Source organism: Homo sapiens, chromosome 12, assembly GCF_000001405.40.
Source record: "Homo sapiens chromosome 12, GRCh38.p14 Primary Assembly".
NCBI lineage: Eukaryota > Metazoa > Chordata > Mammalia > Primates > Hominidae > Homo > Homo sapiens.
This window is the reverse complement of record NC_000012.12, coordinates 54,454,948-54,475,343: the sequence shown is the minus strand read 5'-3', so window position 1 is coordinate 54,475,343 and position 20,396 is coordinate 54,454,948. Positions and strand designations below refer to the sequence as shown.

Genomic DNA, 20,396 nt, shown 5'->3' with positions numbered 1-20,396 from the left:
AAAACGAAAACATCCCTTGCCCGGCGCAGTGGATCACACCTGTAATCTCAGCACTTTGGGAGGCCGAGGCAGGCAGATCACCTGAGGTCAGGAGTTTGAGACCAGCCTGGCCAACATGGTGAAACCCCCGTCTCTACTTAAAAAAAAAAAAAAAAAAGCTGGGTGTGGTAGTGCCTGCCTGTAGTTCCAGCTTCTCAGGAGGCTGAGGCAGGAGAATCACTTGAACCCAGGAGGCGGAGGTTGCAGTGAGCCGAGATCATGCCACTGCTCTCCTGCATGGGCGACAGAGCGAGACTCCATCTCAAAAAAAAAAAAGAAGAAAAAGAAAATGCCCCACTGATCCTTTTTACTAAAGCTACATTCAGTTTTTGTCAGGGTAGTCCTCTCAAGTCCTATTTGGGCTCTACACCACTGAAATGCTGTAGAAATCCCAATATTTCACTGCCCAGACTAATCACCCAGACTGCCTCCTACATCTTGAACAGCACAGAATGTTTTGTCATATCTTTTACTTCTTGGTTTTGAAAAATATTACCACCAGATCTACTTGTAGTGTCAACACCTTCCTTTTTTTGTCTAACCTTCAAAGGCTACAAGTCCCTTTTCTCTATAATGCCTTCCCAGGTCATTTCAGGCCCCATTAATTTTTTTCCTTACAGGAATTTACAGTCTCTACCACTTTTTTTGGCATTTTTTGTACTGCTATTAAACCTTTCATCCACTTTGGGAGTCGTTTTTCTAAGCACTCTGGGGACAAGAACTGCAGCTTACACTTTTTTTCCCCAGAACAAAGCCTCACACTACGTTTGGTTTTCCCTTAACAAGTTGTAACCTTCCGGCCTTCTTGTCCTCTCCAACTCTTCATTGAGCTCTCTCCCCAACTCTAAAACTCGCTTTCATCAGGCAGCAACAACCATCATCCTACCAAGCATTCTCAGATAGTTAGTGCCTTTTGAATTTTGGGATTTTACAACACATTCTAAACAAGAACAGCCAGACACAAAATTCCTGTCCTTGGTGATTGTTTTGTGGCTGCACTGCGTATCTCCTTTATAATTCCTCTTCTCTTCCCTCAAAATCTAAATTACCTTTCTATCTAGACAACTTCCACAAACAAGGCTTCTTTCTAGGCAGCTCCCCACCTCTAACCAGTTCCATCAGTCCCATTCCCTCAGGCGCCATTTTTTTTTTTTTTTTTTTTTTTTTCCTGAGACGGAGTCTCACTCTGCCGCCCAGGCTGGAGTGCAGTGGTGCAATCTCGGCTCACTGCAGCCTCCGCCTCCCGGGTTCAAGCAATTCTCCTGCCTCAGCCTCCCAAGTAGCTGGGATTACAGGCGCCCGCCACCACACCCAGCTAATTTTTGTATTTTTAGTAGAGACGAGGTTTCACCATGTTGGCCAGGCTGGTCTTGAACTCCTGAGGTAATCGCAGGTGCCCATTTCTAAGTGCTCATCTGCCTTTTCTAAGATGGCCGCCACAAAACCCAGGGAAAGAAATGCGAGTTCTACCCTCTCAAGGCCACTGTTGTTCTGGGGGCCAGGGGAGGATGGCCCCAAAGATGGGGTGCCCAAGGAGGAGATCCTCGTGGGAAAGGGTCATCAGGGAGCTGACCCTAGGGGCTCACAGGTGAACTCCACAGCTGATCCACCCTGCCCCACACTCAGCCAGAACCGAGACTCCCAGTCACAGGAAGTGCCGGCCCCTCGCCCCACCTCCCAACGTTAGGCGCCGGAAGTGGCCGTTGCTGGGGCTTGCGTGGGAGGAAGGTGACTGTGAGGAAGGTGTGTGTCCACCGAGGTAAGGAAAGGCACCCCGGGGCGCCTCTAAGCAATTCCTATTTTGCGTACCGGGATACCTTCACCTTCTAATATCCTCATTTCGCTTTTCTGCTGGTAGCCTTCAGCCTTGTGGGCTCTCAATGCAGCTATTTTGGCTACCAACCTGTTTCGCTGCATTGCCCACTCGAGGGCCTCCTTGGCGCCTTTTCTATGTTTTTTTTAAGTTAACCACCTCCCCCACTTTCTCTTATTTAGTCTCATTGATTAAGTCTACTGTGATTTTGTTGTTGTTGTTGTTGTTTAAAGGAAGAAAAATGATTCTTTTACTAAGGCCGGAATTCTGTTAAGCGTTTAACCAGTAGCCGCCGACTACATCCATACCCTAAACTTGATTGCTTCCGGCGTAGCTTGTCTATTTCACCGTGATCTAGTAGTAGGGAAAAGGTAAAGAATCCCGTTAACAGTTTGATGCGGAAGATACTTAAAACAGACACGGCTAAGTGATGGTACTGTGAATTCCAGTGCCCCTAGTGTACTGTAATTCGTCCTTTTGTCCGGGAAGAATAGGTTGGCTTCCTACAAGCTGCTGAATCTGGTGCTCATCACTTAAAATCAAGAAACATACTTGGTTCTTCCTTCCAAAACTCTTATTTTTAATGAAAAAGTATGAAGTAACTATGTATAAGTGAAATATATACAAAAAGACGGTGGGGATTTCTTGATCCAAACATAAATATGAAAAATATTTTTAAGACAAATTCACTAATGATTGTCATTAACAAATGGGCTCAGTAGCAAAAAAACTAGAGTTCTAGCTGATCACTTGTATTTCCTATCATAGGTTCTAACGCTGCTTATGTCACAGAATGGGGGGAGGGGTGGTGAGGAGTGTAGAATTGTGTGAGGGGCCAAAGGAGAGCATGCTCTAGAGACAGACAATTTTCAGAAGTTTCGTATGGGGATGGTTTTATATAAATTCAGGTTTTTCCCACAATAATAAATGTATTTAGTCTCAGTGCTCAATAGAAGAGATTTCTAATAGAAAAGGATTCAAACTGTGAAACCATTTCTCTTTTAATGTTTCACATTCCTGTTACAGATTTGTTCTCTTGTGACTCTGTTATCCATAATATGGACAGTTCTTGAGTCCTAACATTGAGAGGTTTTCCCTTAGTGCATAGAGGGAATGAGTATTAATTGGAGAAGCTTAAAGTATTGCCACTTTAGCACTGAAGATTGGGATGAGAGGAGGTGAAACCTCACTAGAAAAAGGGACAATGTTAGTGTGGCCCTTCCTGATCATGTTTAAGAAAAGTCATGAAAATGGTGAACTAGTGTTTCCAAGCATATTGGAAGGGTTGAGTGTATACTGTCTGTCAAAGACTTCCAGCATTTCCAGGTCCTAGAGAGGAACAAGACTGGTAACCTGCCTATCTGTATTTTTAAGAACCCAGGAGGAAAGCTTTATAATAGAACATTATTTCTGTGTTTATGTATAAGGGGTTTTTTGTTTTTTTAAAGACAGGATCTCACTCCATTGTCCAGGCCAAGTGCAATGGCACGAACCTCATAGCTCCTGGACTTAAGTGATCTGCCTGCCTTTGCCTCCTGAGTAGCTGGGACTACAGGCATGAGCCCCCATGCCTGGCTAAGTTTGTTTTTTTGTTTGTTTGTTTGTTTGTTTTTGGGGGGGGGTTGTTTTGTTTTTTGTAGAGACGTAGTCTTGCTTTGTTGCCAGGCTAGTCTCAAACTCCTGGCTTCAAGTGATCCTCCTGCCTCAGCCTCCCAGAGTGCTAGGATTACAGGTGTGAGCGACCACGCCCAGCCCTCATGCATAAGTTTAAATGACAGTATTCTTGTGGTCTTGACTTGCCCCCTCTAATGTTAAATATTATATGGATATTTATATTATAATCACTATTATATTAATAGTGTCAAACCCTAATAGATGCTAAACAGTGACAGGCACTTAAGTAATAGCACTTAAGGTAGACATCTTATCACCCAAATACAGCTTAAATTTGAACTATAGGAGTCATATTTGGTTTTTCTTAACTATTTGGTAGGCCCTAGAATTTATTCCAAGAATGTGAATTAGGCCATGATGTTAAAATGATTCCAAGAAGAATGCTTTAAAGAGAAGAAAATATTGGGGGGAGTGGGGAGAGTAAAGGTTTCTTATATTGAACTTGGGTAGTTTCAAATCCAGAAGTGACTCCACTTCTTAGGGTTACCTTTTGGTACATTTTATTTCTGATTTCCTGAATCACACTTTTGTTTTTTCCAGCACTTGGATTCAGCTTCTTCATTTCCAACATGGAAGAAACTTACAGTATGTACTCCTTGTTGCTTTTAGAAAATAAGTTAAATCATTTACGTATAGTTTTATATCTGACAAGACTTTTAGTGTGCTGGGAAGAAGTCGGACTTCTCAACTGCTAAGGAGGAAAAGTCTTTATGGTATTGCCCAAATTTGAAATAAGATACTTGAAAATTAAGAAAAGAGGTATGAGAAGTCATAAAGCTTTGAAAAGGCCACAGTTAGGACACCTTTGTTAAACTATTAAATGAGGCAGGACTTCACCTTCTTGTATGTATGACACGGGGATAGTAACTTCTACTTTCTATTTTGAGGAGTAATATATAATAATGTTGATGTACATTAGTTTTTAGGATAAGAAATCTGGGAAGGATTCTTATTTCTCAAGTGATCCAGGAACCTTAGATGGCCCAAGAAATCAAAGCAGAGCCAGCACCTAGAATCATACAAGTGTAGAACCAAAAGGGACTTGAAAAATCATCTATTACAACAGAGACAACAGAACCTAGATTAATTATTTTGCCCAAGTTTACATAGTTAGGGACAGAGTCAGAACCAGAGTCTTCTATATTGTTTATACCTAGTACCCTACATGACACCACAGGCTCTGTTCTAGGCTCTGACTAAATTTGAGGAATATCTGAGTTTATGCCCGTGGATAAAACTTGTCAACAGTACCTACTTTTTCTTCCTACTTTGCTGTCTTGTTCAGAATCTCATTATAATTAAAAGTTCCAACTAAAGGATATTTCAGTCCCATTCTACCCTCTAGGAAGAGTCCAGTGGAGAGCTATATCTCCAAAATACAGAAACTACATAGAAATAATCTTTATTAAATATCTAGAACACAGTAGTTCTCAAACTTGTTAACATGCAGCAGAATCACCTGGAAAGCTTGTTGAACCAGATTGCTGGGTCCCACCTGCAGATTTTCTGATTCAAAAGGTCTGGTATCTGAGAATTTGCATTTCTAACAAGTTACCAGGGTGATGCTGATCTGAGGACCACACTTGAGAAAAGGGATCCCCTGCCCCTTAATTTTTCTTAAAGTTTTTGTTTTCTTTCTTTTGAGACAGAGTCTTGCTCTGTCACCCAGGCTGGAGTGCAGTGGCACAATCTCGGCTCATTGCAACTTCCACCCTCCCGGGTTCAAGCAATTCTTCTGCCTCAGCCTCCTGAGTAGCTGGGGTTATAGGCGTGTGCCACCATGCCCAGCTAATTTTTGTATTTTTAGTAGAGACCGGCCGGGTTTCACCGTGTTGGCCAGGCTGGTCTTGAACTCCTGACCTTGTGATCCACCTGCCTTGGCCTCCCAAAGTGCTGGGATTACAGGTGTGAGCCACCACACCTAGCCTTCTTAAAGTGTTTTTACTTAAGATGTGAAATTCCTGAGCCAGGCGTGGTGGCTCATGCGTGTAATCCCAGCTACTCAGGCAGCTGAGGCAGGAGGATCACTTGAGCCTAGGAGTTAGAGGTTACAGTGAGCTATGATCACACCACTGCACCCCAGGCTGGGTGACAGAGCAAGACCCTGTCTTTTTTTTTTTTTTTTTTTTTGAGAAGGAGTCTCGCTCTGTCACCCAGGATGGAGTGCAGTGGTATGATCTCAGCTCACTGCAACCTCTGCCTCCTGGGTTCAAGCGATTCTCCTGCCTCAGCTTCCTGAGTAGCTGGTACTACAGGTGCATGCCACAACGCCTGGCTAATTTTTATATTTTTAGTAGAGATGGGGTTTCGCCATGTTGGCCAGGCTGGTCTCGAACTCCTGGCCTCAAGTGATCCACCAACCTTGGCCTCTCAAAAGTGCTGGGATTACAAGCATAAGCCACTACGCCTGGCCGACCCTGTCTCTTAAAAAGAAAAAAGAAGGCTGGGTGCGGTGGTTCAGGCCCGTAATCCCAACACTTTGGGAGGCCAAGGCAGGTGGATCACAAGGTGAAAAGATCAAGACCATCCTGCCCAACATAGTGAAACCCCGTCTCTACTAAAAATACAAAAATTAGCTGGGCCTGGTGGCACTCACCTGTAGTCCCAGCTACTCGGGAGGCTGAGGCAGGAGAATTGCTTGGACCCAGGAGGTGGAGGTTGCAGTAAACCAAGATCACGCCACTGCACTCCAGCCTGGCGACAGACCGAGACTCCGTCTCAAAAAAATTAAAAGAAAAAAGAAGAAGAATGTGAAGTCCCTGTATGGTATATATACACTTATTCTTGGAAGCATACTACTGTCTATTAAATTAGAAAACAACATCTCCCCTTTCTGTCTCTTACTTCTTCGTTACTTTTTTCAGCCACATTTTTTTTTTCTTAAATATCACCTGGGAGTGTGTTGGAAATGGACAATCTCAGCGCTCATCCCAGACCTACTGAATCAGAATCAGCACTTTAACACAGTCCCTAAGTGATGTAACACCTGGAGAGTAAGTTAAAGTTTGAGAAACACTGCCTTAGACTATAGTTTCCCAAATTGACCTGGATTTCCAGCTTAATCTTACAGATTCCTGAACATCTCTGTCTTCTCTCTTTGGACTGTACCTCTTAGCTGATGATACTTTTGTCAGGCCTAGTTCCTTATTTCCATGAAGTTTTCTCCATTTCTCACCATGGGTTCTGGTCCCTACCCAAATCTGAGTAACAGCTGAGTCTGTGCTTTTAGAGGAAGCTTGTCAAATAGACCTACTTCGTTTTCGAAAGTAAATTATATTCCCAGGAAGCCAGACAAAAATTTGTAGAGCAGTTTGATAGTATTTATTACAACTTTTAATGCACAGACACTTCAATGCAATACTCTTAGGTGTTTATCCAAGAGAAATACTCATACATTGGCCGGGCACGGTGGCTTATGCCTGTAATCCCACCACTTTGGGAGGCTGAGGTGGGCAGATCACAGGAGGCTAGGAGTTTGAGACCAGCCTGACCAACATGGCAAAACCCTGCCTCTACTAAAAATACAAAAAATTAAACAGGTGTGCCTGTAATCCCAGCTACTTGCGGGGTGGAGGCACAAGAATCACTTGTACCCAGGAAGCAGAGGTTGCAATGAGCCAAGATCGCACCACTGCACTGTCCAGCCTGGGCAACAGAGCAAGACCCTGTCTCAAAAAAGAAAAGAAATACTCATACATGCAAAAAGAAGAATAAACTAGATTGTTAGTCACAGCATTGTATATAATAGTAAAAACTGGGCCAGGCGCGGTGGCTCACACCTGTAATCCTAGCACTTTGGGAGGCTGAGGCAGGTGGATCACCTGAGGTCGGGAGTTTGAGACCAGCCTGGCCAGTCTCTACTAAAAATACAAAAAAATTAGCCAGGCATGGTGGCGGGTGCCTGTAATCCCAGCTATTTGGGAGGCTGAGGCAGGAGAATCACTTGAACCCGGGAGGCAGAGGTTGCAGTGAGCCGAGATTCGCCATTGCACTCCAGCCTGAGCAACAAGAACGAAACTCCATCTCAAAAAAAAAAACAAATCTGGAAACAATGTAAATGTCCATTAATAAGAAAATCAAAAATTTGATACATCCATATGCAGCAGTGAAATATTTCTTATATGTAGTGACTTGGAAGGAACTCCAAGATACATTAAGTGAAAAGAAAAAAAAGCAAATTGCAAGACAGAAGATAAAGGAAATGGCCGAATGTGGTGGCTCACACCTGTAATCCCAGCACTTGGGGAGGCCGAGGCAGGTGGATCACCTGAGGTCAGGAGTTCAAGACCAACCTGACCAACATGATGAAACCCCGTCTCTACTAAAAATACAAAAATTAGCTGAGCTTGGTGGTGGATGCCTGTAATCCCAGCTACTCAAGAGTCTGAGGCAGGAGAACCACATGAACCCAGGCGGTGGAGGTTGCAGTGAGCCAAGATCGTGCAACTGCACTCCAGCCTGGATAACAGTGAGACTCCGTCTCAAAAAAAAAAAACAAAAAACAAAAAAAACACACAGGAAATTCTGTCACATGTTATAACACGGATAAACCTTGAGGACCTTAGGCTAAGTGAAATAGGCTAGTCACAAAAAGCAAAAGACTGTGATTTCACATATATGATGTATCTAGTCAGACTCACCAAAACAAAAAGTAATGGTGGTTGCCAGGAGCTGGGGGCAGTGGGGAATGGAGAGCTGATGGTTAATGGGTATAGAGTTTCAGTTTAGTAAAACAAAAAACTTTTGGAGACTAGTTGCACAACAATAAGGAATATATTAATGCTTAACACTACTGAACTGTATACTTAAAATTCATTAACATGGTAAATTTTATATGTGTTTTTAATCACAGTTAAAGATTTTTGTCCCAGCTACTCCGGGGGCTGAGGCACAAGAATCGCTCGAACTCGGGAGGTGAAGGTTGCAGTGGGCCGAGATCGCGCCACTTCACTCCAGCCTGGGCAACAGAATAAGACTCTGTCAAAAAAAAAAAAAAAAAAAGATTTTTAAATCAAAAAAATTTTTTTAATCTAGAAAGCCAGGTTAAAGTTGACCTAAAGTGCTGGAGACCAGGAAGTAAAGCATTACAATGAGAAGCTCTCATTATCAACTCTGACATATGCTACTATATGGGCAGTATAATATATATGAATCATAAGGTACCATCCAGTCTATCAGCTGCTGACATGGCCTAACATTTGCTAGTGATGGGAATGGATTAAATCAGGGGAAACTAACAAGAATTTCATCTGTAAATTCTCCCTGGTTGTCCTGAAGCTTCGGAAATATGAAACATTGCTGGTCAAGAAGAGCCTGGTTAGCATAATAAGCCTGCCTGTCCTTTAAGACTTTTCCTTCCTATTCATTCTGTCCTTCAAGTCACCTTTCTGGCTCATTTGCATCACGATCATGGTTGGCAATTTATTCCATGTTTACCACTCTTCCAGTGAAACTGTCTGTTTCAATTCCCCACTGGCTTCTGATTTTCCTAGCAGTCTCCTGGTTTATAAGCTTCTTATCAAATGTGAATTGTTTATCTTATTTCACTTTTATCATTGCCTTCAGGGGTGGCAAGAGCAATTTATTAGGTTGCCTCTTGTCTTCATAATATACCAGAATGTGCTTAACCATTTAATTTCCCTTCCTTAACCAGGCTTGTTAAAATTTGGGGCACAGCCTGGTCATCTTGTATAGCCTAAGGGTTGTTTTAAATAGCATTTTATAGGTTAGGGGCTTTCTTTCACACAGCAGTTCCATATGTCTGCAGTTGTCTTAACCTCAGAAGGTTCTGTTTTTGCACATTGTTCCTATTTTTTTAGCTGGCTAATGTAGTAGTCACTAGATTAAAGAATTCTCTGTTTTGTTCTCACATGTGTTCCAAAATATGAAAAGTAAAAACTACCTGTCTGATAACAGTATTGGTTTCATTTGAGAGGTAATTAGAGTAACCAAGATTAGGAACTACTTATAGGAGTAAGTTAAAGTAGACAGATGAAAAAGAAATCTATCCACTAATATTTTTCAAGCTTCCATAAAACATATAACTGATATAGGGCAGTGCTTACCAACTTTTTTCATGTCACAGGATACTAGTAATAGATGAAGATGCTATTACTAGTATCTTCATCTAGATACTAGTAATAGCAAGTATTACTATTACTTGCTATTACTACCCCCAACTTGCCTGTGGAAATGGGGGGTAGGGGATGACTTGAACTAGTTGTGGGCCCCCAAATCAGTGTATTAGCACACTAGAAATCCATTTCAACTGCAGCATACTGGTTGGGAGGCTCTGGATAGACTAGCTAGAGAATAGGAATAACCCTGAATTAGCACTTTTAGAAAAGGAAAAGAGGATGACATTTTATTTAACTTTTTGTTTTATAATAAGAGTAACCAGCAACAAAAACAATATGTTCAGTTCAATATGAAACTGAGACTTCACCCTGAGATTTCTGGTTCTGCTGAACTTACTAAGATTCAGAAATATTTTAAAAGTGTAGTCACCCTTTTTTTTTAATCCAAGTTTTCTTTAGACTATATTGTTCTATTATTACAGAGTCTCTTGAAAAAATCCAGTGTGCCTGGAATGCTGTAGTTTTACAAGGGCCTATTATCGTTTTACCTACTGAAACACTTCTGTCTTTCAGCCGACTCCCTGGACCCTGAGAAGCTATTGCAATGCCCCTATGACAAAAACCATCAAATCAGGGCTTGCAGGTTTCCTTATCATCTTATCAAGTGCAGAAAGGTAGGGTCATAATTTGCCCTCTAACACCCTCCTGAGTTCTTTTAAAAGGCCATATTTTATAAATATCAAATAATTTTATCATGTTTTAATTGATTGCCAGAATTGTTTTGGGAATCTACCTCTCTTAAATACCAACATTTATAGAAAGGCATTTGTTCATTCCTTAGGATAAATTTTTTCTTGTTTTGGTTTTCTTCCCATTAACTAGTGACAAAGAACCCTTTATAAACAGCATCTCTAGAGTCTTCTCACCCTTTGTAAAACAGACTAATTTTGGCTAACAATGAGAAATCCTGCCTATCTTCTAAATTTGATGTATTCATGAGCCTAACAATGATTGAGTGCTATAACTCACTTTTTCTGATTATTTTGTTTAGAAATTTTAGAGCTTGAACAGCTAGAAGTTAGCCCAAGAAAAATTATTCCTAAAAATAACTGTATCTCCAAGTTTCAACAGTAAACATCTTTAAAAAAATAATAAATAACGATTTTTTTTCTGGTCACTCTTGTATAGACTTAGCTGATATAAACTACTTTCATGCTACCTTAAATGAGACATTTTGACAATGTTGTTAGAATTCTGATACAGAAGCCAAAATTCTGCTAGAATTTATGCTTGGGAAACAATTGAGGTATTTAATCCAAACTGCATACAATTCAGCTTTAACATCCTTTAAAAAGTGCTTGTAATCCTGGAAACATCATGTATCTTTGTTATTTCTCCAGCTCCTTTTAATCTCGAGAGCAAGGATCCCTTAACATTAAACCTGGACAGTATGGATCAGCAGATACCACTACAACATTGTCCCCTCTAGGCTCTCAAACATTTCCCAAATGGAGTCAAGTGGTAAAAAAGACACTATCATAATTCCCTTCTTCTAATGTTCTTAATCTTTGGCCACAAAACCTTTGTATTGAATGCCTGATACCACTTATGAAAATGACGGCGATGCCTGCAAGTTTCTCACACCTATATATTTTTCCAGACTTCTCCCTACTTCATATTATTTTTACTTTTCCGAGTTTCATTTATGACATATCTTTTTTTTCCTAATAAATTTCTTAATTGCTGGTATATTTGCCATAGGATATAGGTGATACTAAACCCTTTGTTTTGTTTTAAAATAAGGAACTTGGTCAGCAAAGTAGACTCTATCATTTGGGTTTTTCCTTAGTGAAATAGCTGAAATGAAGGTCAAATTGTTCAGAGATTCATTTCAGGCATCATTACGTTAAGTAAGCATCACTGTGTTAATCTGAAAAATTATTGGTTTGCCTCTTCTGTGGCTCCCTTCCAACAGCTATTTTCCAGCACTATTGTATTGCAATAGCAGGGACACTACTGCAATGCAGACTAAGAGTGTATTTTAGTGTTGCTATTCATCTTGAATATCAGCTTTCAAAGACATCCAGAGAGCTCTCTCATTACGGGCTGTGCTGCCTGAATCATGTGACTCTGAGAAATAAATGGGGGAAAGATGTCGTTCCAATACCCAATCCTAAATTCATTGTTTAGCTAACAATATCTGTGTTGTCAGTCTCTACAATCATAACAAAAAGACTTATGTTTTGATGATTTTGAAGTAATTGTCTATAAAAACAATAAATAATTCCCTCTTAGTTTTTTACTCTGAGTTTACTTGTTATAGTTAAGCCAGAAGTTTATTGAGGAATTTTAGGGGAGGCATTTGTAGAATAAGGCTTAGCTACTCCCTGTTGACTTTAGTAGATCCAGAGAACTGACAGATCCCTTAATTTTGGTTCCACAGAATCATCCTGATGTTGCAAGCAAATTGGCTACTTGTCCCTTCAATGCTCGCCACCAGGTTCCTCGAGCTGAAATTAGTCATCATATCTCAAGCTGTGATGACAGAAGTTGTATTGAGCAAGATGTTGGTAAGACTTAGTATCTAAAATATTTCAGTACTGGAGGGTAGCTCCTTCAGATTTGTATTATGCTAGATTGTCAGCTTGATTTTTGGCTTTCAGTGTTTTAGAAGAACAATACTTTTCCACCTTTGAGATTTGTATCATGGCAGCAATAGGTTGTCAGATTGTACATGTCATACTGTTTTCTCTCCTGAACAGCCTGGTTCATTTTACTAATAATTCATCTAAAAATAAATCTTTTATTGCCATAAATATGGTAAACATTTTTGTTTCTGCTTTTCTTTCTTCTGTCAGCAAAGAGATAAGATCCCTCTTTTAGCTTTTATACTATCCATTTTTCAGAAATAAAGACCCAACAGGCTACCCTTGCAACCTTTTAAGCTACTAGCCCCTTTGAACACAATAACTTGGCAATATCCCCCTCTTATATCCAATCTTTATTGTCTTGCAGTCAACCAAACCAGGAGCCTTAGACAAGAGACTCTGGCTGAGAGCACTTGGCAGTGCCCTCCTTGCGATGAAGACTGGGATAAAGGTGAGCTGCCTCTACATCTTTTTCTTCACAATGTCTAAATCTCAAGTCATTTGCTTAAGACAGAAGGAAGATTTTCCTTTTTTATGAACATACCATGTTGTTCAGAATGCCTTATTATTTTTATTGGGCCCCAAAACGAGCACATTTGTATCGCTGTGCAGACACGTGGAACAGCCAATCCCTCTTGATTGGAAAAAGCACTTCTTTACATCTGTTTTTTTCCATAAATTGTGTTGTACCATCTGTGTTTGATTGTTAGTAGGCACGTTTATTATTATTTATGTTGCTTGTGTTTATATTCTTCAATTAAATTCTTGCTACTGTGTCACTTAGGCAGGACACTTGATCAATTTTTACTTGCTTCTGCAAAACTTAGGTGTATTATTTCCCATCTTATAAATTCAACCAACATGAACTGCTGGTGTCTTATCTAGTAGTACCACAAACTATGTTTTGCTTCCTTTAACAGATTTGTGGGAGCAGACCAGCACCCCATTTGTCTGGGGCACAACTCACTACTCTGACAACAACAGGTAAATGAAATAGTCTTATCCCAGCATTGTCTCCCAAAATCAGCGTGTTCTGTTACCAAGAGAAGCCACCGGAGCATGAATTGACCACTTTCTTTAACGATGTTCCTTGATGGTAGTTTAGTCTAGATATTGTTTTGGCATTTTTTCATATTTATTCCTTGATTCAAAAAGGTCATGTGCTTTGTGCCAATCATAAGGGATACAAAAATACATTATCGTTTAGCAAGGGAAACAGTAGCCCCAGACTTTCATGTGTCTTAGTTATGTTTTTTGCTAGGTTTACATTATTTTAATGCTTTGAAAAAATTCTCCCACTATACCACTTGGATCATTTTTACTTTAGGTAACTAGTGTATAGGAAAAAGCAGTCTTAAAAATTCTTTATTTGAGATTGGAAAATCCAGAGTACCTATTAGGAAAGAATATGCATCTCTTCTTCCCACTGATTTTGTATCTGATTTATTTTTTTAGAGACAGGGACTCTGTCAACCAGGCTGGAGTGTAATGGCATGATCATGGCTCACTGCAGGCTCTGCCTCCTGGGCTCAAGCGATCCCCCTGGGCCTCTCAAATAGCAAGAACTATAGGGATCCACCACCACACCTAGCTAATTCTTTATTTTTGCCCAGGCTGGTCTCAAACTTCTGGCCTCAAGTGATCCTCCCCCCTCTGCCTCCCAAAGTGTTGCTCATGCCCAGCTCTAATTGAAAACTAGATGATTTCTGGCCAGGCACAGAGTAGCTCATACCTGGAGGCCAAGGTGGGAGGATCGCTGAGGCCAGGAGTTCAAGATCAACATGAGTAACACAGTAAGATCCTGTCTCTACAAAAAAATTAAAAAAAAAAAATAAGCTGGGCATGGTGGTGGATGCCTATAGTCTCAGCTACTTGGGAAGTTGAGACCAGAGGATCATTTAAGCCCAGGAGGTCGAGGCTGCAGTGAGCCATGATCATGCCACTGCACTCCAGCCTGGGTGACAGAAAGAGTCCTTGTCCAAAATAAAATAAAAATGAATGAAGCTATTTCTCATTAACACCAATACTCAAACCTTGGAAGATCAAGTTTCAAACCCAAATGAGAATATTTCTGGTTTAGGAAATGAAGGAATAAGATGCTAGACTTCACTTTTTTCCCCAAACAGAATGCTTGTCAAATTTTTACTTTTTAACTACTGAGAACAGTAAATAATTTTAAGTGTATACTATTTTATGTGCACTAAGATAGAAAAACTTAAAATGAATTCCGTTGGCTACAACTTTTAATTTTACCTCAGTTGAAGATTTGCTGCTTTTGGTTTGGTTGCCTTAGCACTTTATTTTATCTCTTACGTTTATTGAGTGAGTTGATGAGCCTGTCATACAGCTGAACAGTAGATGGCATTGCTGTTTATCTCAATTTCTAGAAAATGAAAATGGTTAGACCCATCTTAATGTCTATACAGAACAGGGAGCTTTCCAGAGAAGTAAGTGGTAATCATTCTAATTGCCGGAACGTTTTGATGGAAATGTGTTTACATTTCAGATGAATGTAGGTTGTTGTTTTTCCCCAAATTACAAAAAACACATTTTGATTATCTTACGTGTGCCTGCTTGAATGATACTGATCTGCCGACATAGCCAAATTCATCTTTTTGCAGCCCTGCGAGCAACATAGTTACAGAACATAAGAATAACCTGGCTTCAGGCATGCGAGTTCCCAAATCTCTGCCGTATGTTCTGCCATGGAAAAACAGTAAGTGAAATAGAGACAAAATAGTTTTACTCTTTTCATTGTGCTAAATACAGTTGATCTTGATTATTCAGATGTGTTCAGTCTGAACACCTTGCATTTCCATGACCCTTAAAGTGAGTGCCTCCTTAAATGTTATGCCCTAAGCACCTTACTCAGTTCACCCTACTGACCGTGGTTAGGAGCAAGAAATTATGAACAGGAAAGTATAAGATCACAGAAGCCAAAAGAATATTTTCAAAATGGGGTGACCACTGACGTCAAATACCATGAGAAAATTTGGGAGCCAATAAAAAGGTTAATGATTTGGGCTAGGAGGAAGTGATCCCTGATTTCTTTCAAGGCATAATATCAGGCCGGGCGCGGTGGCTCACGCCTGTAATCCCAGCACTTTGGGAGGCCGAGGCGGGCGGATCACGAGGTCAGGAGATCGAGACCATCCCGGCTAAAACGGTGAAACCCCGTCTCTACTAAAAATACAAAAAATTAGCCGGGCGTAGTGGCGGGCGCCTGTAGTCCCAGCTACTTGGGAGGCTGAGGCAGGAGAATGGCGTGAACCCGGGAGGCGGAGCTTGCAGTGAGCCGAGATCCCGCCACTGCACTCCAGCCTGGGCGACAGAGCGAGACTCCGTCTCAAAAAAAAAAAAAAAAAAAAAAGGCATAATATCAGTAGGGAATTGGGATCAGAAATTGGATTGTGAGGGCCTAAAAGGAAATGAGTAGAGAGAAAATGAAAGTCATAAGTCATAAGAACCAGCATAAAGAATGGTATTCAGATGTCCTCCCCAGACTTTAGAGGTCATGCTGGGTAAACAAGTACTAAATTTGTATCATATTACCGTCATAATGAAATTTCCACATAGAGAACACCCAAGATACTGTCATTTTTACTTAATACAAACTTTCTTTTCCAATGTTGCCCCTAGATTCAGATTCTCTTGATTTCAGTCTGTGCTACTGTTTGAGCTAATTTTTAGGTGGCTAGAGGATTCACTTTAAAACGTTTCTCCCTGGATACTTGCATTTCCCAAAAAATGAAGTCACCAAATTATATGTCAAAAGGCTTGGTAGGTAAAGGTCTATTTTCTTTTCCCATGCTCTTGAATGAAATCTGATTACTAATATTAAATTCTTCTACTTTTATATTATAATTCAGTATACACAGGAATAAGTCATTTGTGTTTAGTAAGAATAGGGGATGGAGTGAATTTCAATTGACATGGTGTATTTATTTTGAAATATTTCTACTTGTAGATGGAAATGCACAGTAACTGAATACCTATCTCATCAAGTAAGTGTTTCAGTTTTATTTCACTGTCTCTTCAGATGGTAGCAAGATTTAACTGGACATAAAGCAATTTGGGTCCAATTTTCTTTCAGATTATGGTACCAAATTAAAGCTTTGTGTGTGCATGTGTTTTTTAAGTATATAGCCTCTGTTATGGCTTTACACTCTAATGAATAGGCATTTACTGGTTAAATTAGAATTCTGTTAACATGCCAATTTGTTTTCTCTAACATTAGTACACATTGCCTTTTTTTTTTTTATCAAAGTTGCATTCTAGATCTATCATGCCTCTTTTAATGGACTGAGATTAATCATTGAGCTGTGCTTCACTGCTCTGCAATTCATTCCCTGTGCAGTACAGTTTAATACTCATCAAAAAATTCATACTTTTTTTAATGAGCACTTAAAAGTTTTGGGTTTCTGGCCGGGTGCAGTGGCTCACGCCTGTAATCCCAGCACGGGGAGACCAAGGCGGGCAGACCATTTGAGGTCAGGAGTTTGAGACCAGCCTGGCCAACATGGTGAAACCCTGTCTCTACTAAAAATTCAAAAATTAGCCGGGCGTGGTGGTGCACGCCTGTAATCCCAGCAACTCGGGAGGCTGAGGCAGGAGAATCGCCTGAACTGGGAGGCAGAGGTTGCAGTGAGCCGAGATCATGCCACTGCACTCCAGTCTGGGCCACAGAGTAAGATTATGTCTCAAAAATAAAATAAAATTTAAAAAATAAAAGCTTTGGGTTTCTAAGAGTTTTACACTGTCGATCTTATCTGAGTATTTGATTTAGCAGAACCTCACAAAATCTATGTGAAGAGACCAAAATCTCTCTCACTTTTCACAGATGAAGCCTTTCCTTTAGGTTACCCTATGTGCCTGTGGCAGAGCCAAGTTTGATCCTTCAAATGTCGTCTTGGCTGAGGTTGCCCAGACACATTGCTTCTGGCAAAGGGAATGTTATAAAGGCTGAGAATGGGATTATATCCCAACTGTTTTGCAGTTAGTAGGCCCTCAGTGAATATTCATTGAATTAATGAATAATTGGCCTCTTGCATTCCAGTCTGTTCACTCTCTCTGAACAGTGAAACAGATAAATCTGTGAGTTAGTTTCATTTTGTAGTAAAACTGATGTTTCTTCTGGTAAGAAGCAGAAAAGAGATGCTAAAAGTTAACATCCCTTAGCTATAGACAATAATACTTATCAGTTGCTTCTAGGTACCAGCCATTTTTCCTAGTAGATTCTGACGTCAAATTGTTAAATACATTTGAAAGCCAGAAAATGGGATTTGGTCCCAGAAGGAAAAGAGATACACCAGCACTGGGGTACATCAGGAAAGCATACATTGAGTATGGTGGTATGCACCTATCATCCCAGCTACTTGAGAGGCTGAGACAGGAGGATCACTTGAGCCCAGGAGATCAAGGATAAAGTGTACCATGACTGTGCCTGTGAATAGCCACTGTACTCTAGCCTTAGCAACATAGTGAGACCTCGTGTCTTAAACAAAAGCAGGGAGGGCTGGGCACAGTGGCTCACACCTGTAATCCCAACACTTTGGGAGACCAAGACAGGGGGATTGCTTGAGCCCAGGAGTTTAAGACCAGCCTAGGCAACATAGTGAGACCTGTCTCTAAAAAAAGGGGTTGGAAGAGAAGCATACATTGAACAGACCTGGATAAATGGTGAATTTTGAATTCCTCTCTGATATGCTATACAAGGTGTCTGGCGATCAAACAATATGAATAGCTGTCTAGTAAAAATGGCTACTCTAAGATGAAAATCTAGGAGAAATTTCTGTGTCTATAACTTAAGACCAGACCCTTCTCTCCTTTGGGACTTAACTCTTTATGGTTAAACTCCTTACACACTAAAAATTTATTTTTCTGTGTAACTCCTGAGGGATCAGAAAAATAATTAGATTAGATAAGAATCCTTAAGCAGCCACAGACATTATCCTCTTAATAAAAATGAAGTTTTGGGTTTTTGTTTGTTTGTTTGTTTTTTGTTTTTGAGATGGAGTCTGGCTCCTGTCACACAGGCTGGAGTGCAGTGGCGCAATCTCGGCTCACTGCAACCTCCACCTCCCGGGTTCAAGCGATTCTCCTACCTCAGCCTCCCAAATAGCTGGGATTACAGGTGTGTGCCACCACGCCCGGCTAATTTTTGTATTTTTAGTAGAGATGGTGTTTCACCATGTTGGCCAGGCCAGTCTCGAACTCCTGACCTCAGGTGTTCCACCCGCCTTGGCCTCCAAATAGCTAGGATTACAGGCAGGAGCCACCACACCCGGCCATTAAGTATTATTTTCAATGCCTGTTGTTGTAGAATTCTCTAGTTTCTTTGGAAGGATACAAAAGAAATAAAAGATATGACTATGCCCTTAAGGAACTTAAGTGTGAGTGAAATGTTTTTGAATATACATACATGACAAGGGTTTGTTCACTTAGCATTTAATGTGTTTTATCCTATTTATGTTTTTATCAACAACTCCACTTTTTACTAGATAAGTACCTCAGAAGCAGGTAGTATCATACCAATTCTTGTCCCCTAATTTACATTGTAAAAGCTTAAAAACTATTTTTGAACTAATGAGTAAATACAGTATGTGAGAAAAAGATCAAGATAATTGGAGTTAATCCAGAATTGCATGAATGAATCAATTTCCTGATATTCTCCTCACTTGTAAAACTCTTGACACAGAAGTGCACATTGATTTCTGTATAGAATGTTTTTAATTCAATTAACAAGTTTCTCTGTGCTCAATGGTAGTAAAGAGTTAAAGATCAGAAGGTACTTGGTGTTCTGCCATCAACAACAGCAGATTCCTCCAGCAGAACAAGATAATTTAATTGGGTTATAGTTGTGTGGCCCATTGTCAGATGTAGTTGGTGCTTTTTTCATTGAAAAAAACTAAGAACTTTTTTTTCTCCATTTACTTGCAGATGCCAGACCCTAGAAGACTGTTGCTTCTTCTTCTACCAGTGGGTTCTCATTTTCCTCCTAATCTAATTATAGAATGGTAAACTCCCTGTGACTTTCCAAACTGACAAGCACACTTTTTTCCTCCCCCCTTGAATCCTCATTTAATGCAAGAACCCTCATACTCAGAAGCTTCCAAATAAACCTTTGATACAGATTGCTTAATAGTTTGGTCAAGTACCTGCAGCCCCAAGATCAGAGATCATGTCCAATTCCACATTAATGAACCATAATGATTTAAAGTTTTCTTAAAGGATCTAACTGAAATAGACAGGAAACTTGGGTTAGAAAAGGTAACTGTGTATTTGTGTTCTCTGACACACATGGACCAAATTCCTTTTAGTGTTTGTAGCAATGGACTTTTTCTGATCAGTGCATCTGTTTATCCATTCTCTAAGATACTGATAACATTTATAAAGCAAAATACTCCATTCTTATTTATAGTCTTTAGGACATCTTACTGCCTATCCAACCTAGGGTAGTTTTATTCATCTCCCCACATTCCAGCTAGAAATTGTACTAGCAGTCAATCTAAGTGTGGATTATGTAGGAATTAAGATTGGAATGGAGGGGAGGAAGTATACCTGTGGAGAAGAGATGGGCTTTCCACCTGTGTGTGAAATTTGATTAAGCTTCGGAGTTTAAATGTGTAAAGGCCCTGCTGACTGCCCTGGGATATGCGTGTAACGACTTAGATTTCTGAAACACCCAAAGCTCTGGCTATCCTAGCATCTTGTGGATTCTTATAAGGAGACTTTATAATCTCCCCAGACCAGTTTTTTGTTTGTTTGGATTATTTTTGAGTTTTGTTTTTGTTTTTTTGTTTTTGAGATGGAGTTTCACTCTTGGTCCTAAGGCTGGAGTGCAATGGTGCGACCTTGGCCCACTGCAACCTCTGCCTCCCAGGTTCAAGTGGTTCTCCTGCCTCAGCCTCCTGAGTAGCTGGGATTACAGGCATGTGACACCATGTCCGGCTAATTTTGTATTTTTAATAGAGGTGGGGTTTCTGCATGTTGGTCAGGCTGGTCTCGAACTCCCGACCTCAGGTGATCCGCCTGCCTTGGCCTCCCAAAGTGCTGGGATTACAGGCATGAGCCACTGCACCCAGCTTGTTTGGTTTTTATCAGGTTAGGTTTGGTTTTAAAAGTGTCTAGCATGGTGGGGAGGCA

The 20,396-nt window shown here is 40.5% G+C and overlaps 1 protein-coding gene and 1 long non-coding RNA gene across 8 annotated transcripts in view, besides 2 other annotated features; one reads left to right on the top strand and one right to left on the bottom strand.

Annotated features, from left to right (window-relative positions):
- Window positions 1,139-1,665: an enhancer, noted in NCBI's record as "H3K27ac-H3K4me1 hESC enhancer chr12:54867463-54867989 (GRCh37/hg19 assembly coordinates)". NCBI's record gives its function as "activates a minimal SCP1, AML or CMV promoter by ChIP-STARR-seq in naive H9 embryonic stem cells {active_cell/tissue: H9 hESC(naive)}" and the evidence as "EXISTENCE:reporter gene assay evidence [ECO:0000049][PMID:30033119]".
- Window positions 1,414-1,473: an enhancer, noted in NCBI's record as "active region_6442". NCBI's record gives its function as "activates an Ori minimal core promoter by ATAC-STARR-seq in GM12878 lymphoblastoid cells {active_cell/tissue: GM12878}" and the evidence as "EXISTENCE:reporter gene assay evidence [ECO:0000049][PMID:35858748]".
- Window positions 1,742-19,387, top strand: GTSF1 (gametocyte specific factor 1). Of its 6 annotated transcripts, none has more exons than XR_007063048.1 (9): window positions 1,742-1,782; window positions 4,067-4,111; window positions 10,177-10,277; window positions 12,047-12,173; window positions 12,619-12,702; window positions 13,172-13,235; window positions 14,873-14,967; window positions 15,891-16,031; window positions 16,219-16,258. XR_007063048.1 is itself a non-coding variant. In XM_017018800.3 (9 exons), the coding sequence occupies exons 2-8, from the start codon at window positions 4,096-4,098 to the stop codon at window positions 16,233-16,235; spliced, it is 504 nt and encodes a 167-aa protein (XP_016874289.1). In that variant the 5' UTR covers window positions 1,742-1,782; window positions 4,067-4,095; the 3' UTR covers window positions 16,236-16,255; window positions 19,191-19,387. The 6 variants fall into 6 exon arrangements, 3 of the variants coding, with proteins under 3 accessions (XP_016874289.1, NP_653195.2, XP_024304602.1); XR_007063047.1 differs by having other exon boundaries at window positions 1,742-1,798; XM_017018800.3 differs by lacking the exon at window positions 15,891-16,031 and adding an exon at window positions 19,191-19,387 and having other exon boundaries at window positions 16,219-16,255.
- GPR84-AS1 (GPR84, ZNF385A, ITGA5 and GTSF1 antisense RNA 1) overlaps window positions 8,314-20,396 on the bottom strand; it is a 113,340-nt gene continuing 101,257 nt past the window's right edge. For both annotated transcript variants that reach the window (NR_120486.1, NR_120487.1), the window contains exon 4: window positions 8,314-8,503. This is a non-coding gene — a long non-coding RNA (GPR84, ZNF385A, ITGA5 and GTSF1 antisense RNA 1). The remainder of the gene's footprint in view (window positions 8,504-20,396) is intronic.